Source organism: Homo sapiens, chromosome 14 (genome assembly GCF_000001405.40).
Source record: "Homo sapiens chromosome 14, GRCh38.p14 Primary Assembly".
NCBI lineage: Eukaryota > Metazoa > Chordata > Mammalia > Primates > Hominidae > Homo > Homo sapiens.
In genome coordinates this window covers 100,647,651-100,655,548 of record NC_000014.9, presented here as the reverse complement: position 1 = coordinate 100,655,548, position 7,898 = coordinate 100,647,651, and positions in this window count along the sequence as shown.

The window sequence follows — 7,898 nt, the reverse complement described above, 5'->3', positions numbered from 1 at the left end:
TCCCAGCACAATAATCAGCCCTCAGTTAAATGAGGAGGATAAATACAGGCAGACCGGGACTCCAAGGACAACAGCCCCCGGTTACCGTCCTCCACAGACCCGGACCACCACCCAGCTGCCTTGGTCGCTGAGCAGTCAGAGGATGGACAGAACATGCAGGGCCTCCTTGGTGGGAAGCCACGGACAGGGGGGGCCCCCCACGCAGGGCCTCAGTTTTCTCATCTGTAATATGGGGGAGCAGACAAGTCCCCCACGTTACCCTCTGCAGGCCTCGCTGTGGTCCTCTCCACTTTAGCCGTCACCTCTTGGCCTCCTGAGTCAGACCTGCAGAGGCAGGCCCGGGAATCTGCACTTCCCGAGATGCCCCAGGGAGCCCCTCCGTGGAACCACGTGTGCCAACGCCTGGGAGGAGGGCAGGTGGCCAGAGGATCCTGGGGTCCCTCTCCCAGCCCAACCCCACCCCCAGGCCCTGTGGCTGCTCCCCCTCTGCAAAGGCACCAGGAGGGAGGTCAGGCCCTGGCGGAGCCAGCCACGCAGGTCAGTGCCCCGGGCAAGTGGGTGCTGCGGTGGCCTCGGGCCACAAGGGGGCAGAGGCGGCCAGCGAGGCCGCAACCTTCGCTCAGGTGAGCCGGGTCCGCTGCGCTGCGCTGCGCGCCGGGGTCCTGCACCCACGCTCTTCGCCGCAGAGGAGACCCCGGGGGGCAGGGTCGGGCGGGGGCCTCTCCGTGTGGCCTGGGTGGTCCTCGGGTCCTCAGCCCCTGCCCCCGCCTCTTCTGGAAAGCTCCTCACAACGCTGCCCGGCCCTGCTGCCTCCCAGCCCCGACACAGGAATCCCATCTCACTCCAGCGCCCGCCCTCCCCTTCCACGGTGCAGGCGGCTTCATCCCTGCTGAGTCTAATTCCACCCTCATTCGCCCCATTTCACAGAAGGAGTAAACTGAGGCCGAGAGAGGGCAGGGGCTGGAGCCAAGGCCCTCCCTTCTGGAGCAGCAATCCTAGAATTGGGAAACTTTGCCTTTTGTTATGGTAAGAAATGCTGTTGAGAATTTCTTAATTCCCCTTTGGAAAAGACAGGTTGTGCTGTGTGCAGAAATCGTTATTCAAAAATTACAGACTCTAGTTGTTTCTATGGAAACATTTTTTCACCTTATGCAAATGAAGCAAGAGGCATGAAAACAACGCCTTCCCTTTCTGCCCCCCTCCACCAACTTTCTTTTTGGAACCTTGAAAAGCTGCTGCTGAAAGTTTCGTCCTCTGTAGGGGTGCTGAAGGCGGCCTCTGACACTGGGGAGAGTTTGCTTCATTAACTCGGGGACCTTTGTGACCCTGGGCCGAGCCGAGACTCAGGGTTCCCCGGCCAATTACTCTGAGGCCCAGCTCCATTTACTCCCACTCTGATCATTACAGAGTGGTGGGTGGCAAATGTCACTCCAGAGTGTCTCCCCTGCCCCCTTGAAGGGGAACCCCTGCTTCCCACCACGATTCCTTCAGGAAGCCCCACAGCAGGAGGGAAACCCCCCACCGCTCAGAGCACCCATCGTTTACCCAGCCTGGACTGGCATTCTTTTGAGGAGCCAACCTCTGCACCCACTCCTGCACTCATCTCTGCCTCCACGGGGGCTCCCAGAGCCAAGGGACAGGAATGTTGGGCATATCTTTCCTCTGGTTTTGATTCAAGCCCCCACATTGGTGCCTTCCAACTATGTGGCCTTGGACAAGTCTCTGCCTCTCTGAGCCTCGTTTTCTCCGCTGTCGCCTCCACCCTGCTTAGTTGGGGGTGATAGCACCCACCTTGCAAGGTTGCAGGGAGGGTGACATGGAACGACCATCTTCGCTACTTAGCGCACAGTAGGGATTAAATGTGTAGGAATTCCCCAAGTTGCTCCTAGAGGAGCGGGGAGCCAGGGTGAGAAGAGGCTCGCTGGTGTGTGTGCTGCGTGGGATGTGGCCGCCCCCGGGGAAATTTGCTCGAAGCCACCCGAGAACTCCATCCCCAGCTGTTTGTGGCCAGGGCGGCCACCAGGAGGCAGTGTCTCCCAGCAGCCAGAGCGCCAAATTTGTAGCCCAGAGACCTGGGTTCAAGCTCCGACTCAGAGGTGTCTTCACTGGGTGATCTTGGAGACTATTTCCCCTCCCCAAGCCTCCATTTTCTCATCCACAGGGAGCCACATCATCTGCACGCCCCACAGGCTGCGTGGGGACCACAGCTAAAGGCTGTGGGAAGTGGGCAGATGTACCCTGACTGACATAAAATTGGTACCAAGAGTGGTTCCAGGTGATGGATGGGATGTGGGGATTGGTTTGGTCATGCCTTTGGGCTTGAACACAAAGCTGAGCTCCTTGCCAATGGGAAACGGGATGTTAGTGACCCCCATATGCAGCAGCATTGCCATTAATCAACTATCATCTGCCATTGATTGCGATGAAGTGGCTCCTAAGGAACCCACGTGGCTCCTGAACTTGACCATTATGGCAGTAACGATGACTATAAACATTTTGGTGAGGTGTGGATTCTTTTGAGTGTACGCAAGCTCTTACAAAGAGAAAATGAAAAGCTTGGATCCGTTAGCCTTCAGCTCAAGTCACAGTCTGAGAACCAGCGAGCTTCGGTGACAGCTGTAAAAGAGGCTCTTATTTCATTTAGCTGCAGGGCTGATGCTGATGAAAATCAGACACAAGCTTTAATTGTGCAGGCTGCTGAGGTATAACAATTGAATTCATGCGCTCAACAAGTTTCTCATGTGAAAGTTAGAGCCCTGATTAGTGAAGAATCAGATCTCAAAACTTGGAATGAAAACATCTGATTGGATCCAAATAAGACCGTCAATCTTGAGTCCCCAAGTCACACGGAGCCTCCTTTGCAAGTGGAGGCAGCTACCCATCTCATGTCAGAAGAGACTGGCTCTCCTCTGCTTGAAAACCATGGGATAAACTCACCCAGGGCAGATGCCCTGGAAGGAGGTGCCCATTCATCTCGAGATCCATCGCAGCCACCCTGTTGCCACTAGACCCACAGCTGGGCTCCAATCCCAGCATGCTGCAGGGGCAAGTACACACTTTACCACCAAAAGAATTACAAGACTTTGCTTATATATGTGGGCAGAAACCTGGGTACCACGTGCAGAGTGGATTCTAAGGGTGTTAGATCACAGAGGGAGAAATATTAATACAACATTAGACCAGGCCAAATGTTTTGGCATAGTTGCACTTACTAGAAAATCTGAATCCAATGTGCTAGTTTGTGTAACTATGCATTAATCATCTATTGCCATGTATCAGATTACCACAAACTTCAAGGCTTACAACAGCACACACTTTTAATCTCATGGCTTCTATGGGGTAGGAACCTGGGCATGGCTGACGTGGCTCCTCTGGGCCAGGATTCTCATAGGGCAGCAATCCAGGTGTCAGCCAGAGCTGCAGTCTTATCAGAAGGGTTCCCTGGGAAACCATCCACTTCCAGGCACACAAGGTTGTTGCAGGAGTCAGTTCCCTGCAGGCTGTTGGGCTGAAGGCCTCAGTTACTAGGTGGCCCTGGCTGAAGGCTGCCCTCATGGACCTCTTCAGCATGGTCACTTACTTTATCAAAGCCTGCATGCTGAGAAGGCAACTGAGAGCCTGCTACCACCTTACAGAAGCTAATCACAGCAGTGACCGCCCATCAGCTTGGTCATATTCTGTTGGTTCGAAGCATGTCACAAGCCCACCTATACTCAAAGGAAGGGAGTTACATAAAGGAATGAACAGCAGGAGACAGGGATCATTGGAAGTTTTCCTGCCACCAGCAGAAGGTGGATCTAACAGATTATTTGGCTGGTTCTTGACTAAAGCTTGGACTCACCCGTGACCTTCAGGTAATGAGATTGAGATGACAGAGCTTCCCTGGCATGAGGCGGAGGAGGGAACCGAAAGGCTTAGAGGATAGGAATGCTGGGCTGGATCTATCAGGTGAAACCTGCACACCCATCCCTCTACTATGTTCTGCAAGAGGGCCCAGGAGACACTTCCTTCACTGAGGAATTGAAAAATACAGTGGTGAGCGGCACGCCTGCATCCCTGAAAATCTCTGTGGTTGCAGTCCTTTTTAGACCAGGCATGACAGCAGGGGATGCTGCCACCGAGCTGCATGCCCTGATTTCAGTGGGAATGATGAGATTGCAGAGCGGCAGAAGCCAAGTGGCATCATCACTTCACTGCCAAAGACAAAGTGGGTACATCCAGCATCACGGACAGCAGGGACGCACAAGCAATCAACATGCCTTGGCCCACACAGATCTTTGGTGGTGGCTAATTCATCATGGTGTCCCCGGGAAGAAAGAGATGGGCAGCCTGCTACAGCCTTAGTTTAAACAGGAAACACAACCGGGAGAGCGCAAGGCCTGGTAGCCTCAAGTCTGACTTGAGTTGTTGCAATGAAGAATCATGGCTTCTTACCCAACTTCCAGATCTCAGCAAATGCACAGACCCTGGGCGACTTGGTTGAACGGAGGCCAGCATGACAGCACACTGTCAACCTTCCTCCAAGCCATTTCCAGGGGGACCTGTGGCCTTTTACTACAGGGAGTGTGCAACAGGGGAAGGAAATGCCTAGATGGTTTGAGGATTGCTAGACAGTGGTTCTGAACTAACACTAATTCCTGAGGGCCCAAAATTCCACTATGCCCCAGCAATCTAAAAGGAGGTGGACAGTGGGAAGATGATAGATGGAGTCTTAACTCAGGTCTGGTTCACAGTAGGCCCAGTTGGTCCATGGACCCCATCCCCACTAGTGGTTATCTGTCTAGCTCTTAAATGTATAATTGGAGGAGACATACTTAGCAACTGTCAGCATCCCTGCATTGGCTCTGTGACCCATGTGGTGAGGGCCATTATCACAAGAAGAACTTAGTGGAAATCCCTGAAACTTCCACTTCCATCCAAGTGAGTGAACCAGAAGCTATACTTTATCCCAGGGGAATTTGAGAGATTAATGTCACTTACAAGAAGCAGAGGTGTTCATACCTACCACACTCCATGGAGCTTCCCAGTTTGTACTGTTCAGAAGTCAGGTGGAACCCTGCCACCATCAGACACAGCAATGGTTTCTCTGAATTGGAAGATGAGGCTATCACCTGGCTGCTTTGGACTCCTTAAGCCACTGAATCAACACAAAAAGAAAAGGAAAGAAATGACTCTACTCACTGGAGTGATTGATCCTGATTAGCAAGGGGAAACTGGGCTGCTGCTGCACAATGAGGACAGGGAGGAAAGTATCTGAAACGCAGAGGATTCTCCAGGGTACCTCTCTTAGTTCTCCTGTGACCAATAGTAATGGTGTGTTAGCCTGTTTGCTATAACAAAATACCACAAATTGAATGGCTTATAAACAACCGAAATTGATTTCTCACAGTTCTGGAGCCTGGAAAGTCCAAGATTAAAGCACCAGCAGATTCAGTGTCTGGTGAGGGCCTGCTTCCTCATAGACAGCACCTTCTCGTTGTGTTCTCACATGGTGAGAGGGATAAAGAGCACTCTGGGGTTTTTTTTTTAAATAAAGGCACTAATCACAGTCATGAGGGCTCTGCCCTCATCATCTAATCTCCTGTTTTAGTCCATTTTGTGTTGCTATAACAGACTGTCACAGACTGGGTAATTTATTATAAACAGAAAGGTATTTGGCTCAAGGTTCTAAAGGCTGAGAAGCCCAACAGCATGGCGCCAGCATCTGGTGATGGCCTTCGTGCTGTGTCATCCCATGGTGGAACGCAGAAGAGCAAGGGCAAGAGTGAGGGAGGAAGGGGATCCAAACTCACTTTTATAACACACCCACTCTCATGATAGCTAACTCACTCCCACAATAATGACATTAATCCATTCATGAAGGCAGAGTCCTCATGACCTCATCACCTTTTATCAGACACTGTCTCCCAACATTGTTGTATTGGGTATTAAGTTCCCAAGACACAAACTTTGGGAGACACATTTAAACCATAGCATCTCCCAAAGGTCTCATCACCTAACACCGCCACCATGGGGGCTAAGATTTCAGCATATGAATTTTGGAGGGACATAAACATTCACTTCATAGCATTTTTCTCTTGGCCTCCCAAATTTAATGTGCTTTTTGCATGCAAAATGCATTCATTCCATCCCAATTGCCCAAAACATCTTAACTTGTTCCAGCATCAACTCAAAAGTCTAAAGTTCAAAGTCTCATGTAAATATCATCTGTATCAGATATGGATGAGACCCAAGGTATGATTCATTCTGAGGCAAATTGCTCTCCAGCTGGGAGCCTGTGATATCAAACATGTTATGTGCTTCCTAAATACAATGGTAGAACAGGCATAGGCTAGACATTCCCATTCCCAAACGGAAAAATAGGAAAGAAGGAAGGAGTGACAGGTCCCGGCCAAGACCAGAAACCTTAAGGCTCAGAAATAATCTGCTTTGGCTTGGTGATCTGCCCTCCAGACTCACTGGGGTGGGGATCCTGCCTGTTGGACACACAGTGGTGGTGGCCCTGCCCCCATGGCTGTGCTGGGCACACCCCATACTACAGGTCTCACAGGTTGGGATTTCATGCCTGTGACACTCCCAGGTTAGAATCACATTCCAATGGCTCTGCTGATCTGGGTTTGTGGAGATGGTCCCACCCCTGGCTATGGTGGGTATTATTCTGGTAGGGGCTGTCTATGATGGTCTTGTCCCTGCAGTGTTTCTCTCTCTGGGCCCTGAGGCCCCTTGGGGCATCCTTTGAAATCTAGAGGGAGGCAGCCAAGCCTCTACAGCTTTGCTGGGCACAGTGTATGCCACACTAGGGCCTGCAGAAGCCACAGCTGGGGTGGATAAGGAGCTCAGCAATGGAATGCATGGAGGGAAATGGAAGCTGCCATACAGTATGGCAGTGGCGGTGGCCCCTCCTTTGATATCATTCTGCCCTCCAGGGCCTAGTACTCTGGGCCTGTGAGGGAAAGGACAGACCCCAATTCTTCCATCATTTTGGACAACAGGTTCTGGCTTCTGTTCAGATCAAGCTTGTCCAACCCATGGCCCATGGGCCTCATGTGGCCCAGGACAGCTTTGAAGCCCAACACAAATTCATAAACTTTCCTAAGACATTATGAGATTTTTTTTTTTTTTGCAATTTTTTTTAGTACATCAGCAATGGTTAGTGTTAGTGCATTTTATGTGTGGCCCAAAACAGTTCTTCTTCCAATGTGGCTCAGGGAAACCAAAAGATTGGACACCCCTGGTTTAGATGGTTGACTAATCTCTCCTGTTGTCTTAATGAATAGATCCTGGCTTCTGTTGAGATGGCCAACCCATACTTATCTCTTTTTTTTTTTTTTTTTTTTTTTTTTTTTTTTTTTTTGAGATGGAGTTTCTCTCCTGTCACCAAGGCTGGGGTGCAATGGTACAATCTTGGCTCACTGCAACCTCTGCCTCCTGGGTTCAAGTGATTCTCCTGCCTCAGCCTCCTGAGTAGCTGGGACTACAGGCATGTGCCACTACGTCTGGCAAATTTTTGTATTTTTAGTAGAGACAGGATTTCGCCATGTTGGCTGGGCTGATCTCGAACTCCTGACCTCAGGTGATCCACCTGCCTTGGCCTCCCAAAGTGCTGGGATTACAGGTATGAGCCACCGTGCCCAGCCCATACTTATCTATTTATCAGTCATTTAGCCACATCCTTGTTCTCTCTCCAATATGTTTTGTCATTTTTTCCAATATGGATAGGCTGAAAATTTTCCAACTGTTTAAGTTCTGCTTCTCTTTTGATTGACAATTCTGTCTTTGAATCATTTCTGTTTTCTCACTTTTTACTATAAGCAGTCAAGAGACACCAGGCTACACCTTCAACACTTTGCTTAGAAATTTCCTCTATCAAATATCCAATTTCATTGCTCACAGGCTCT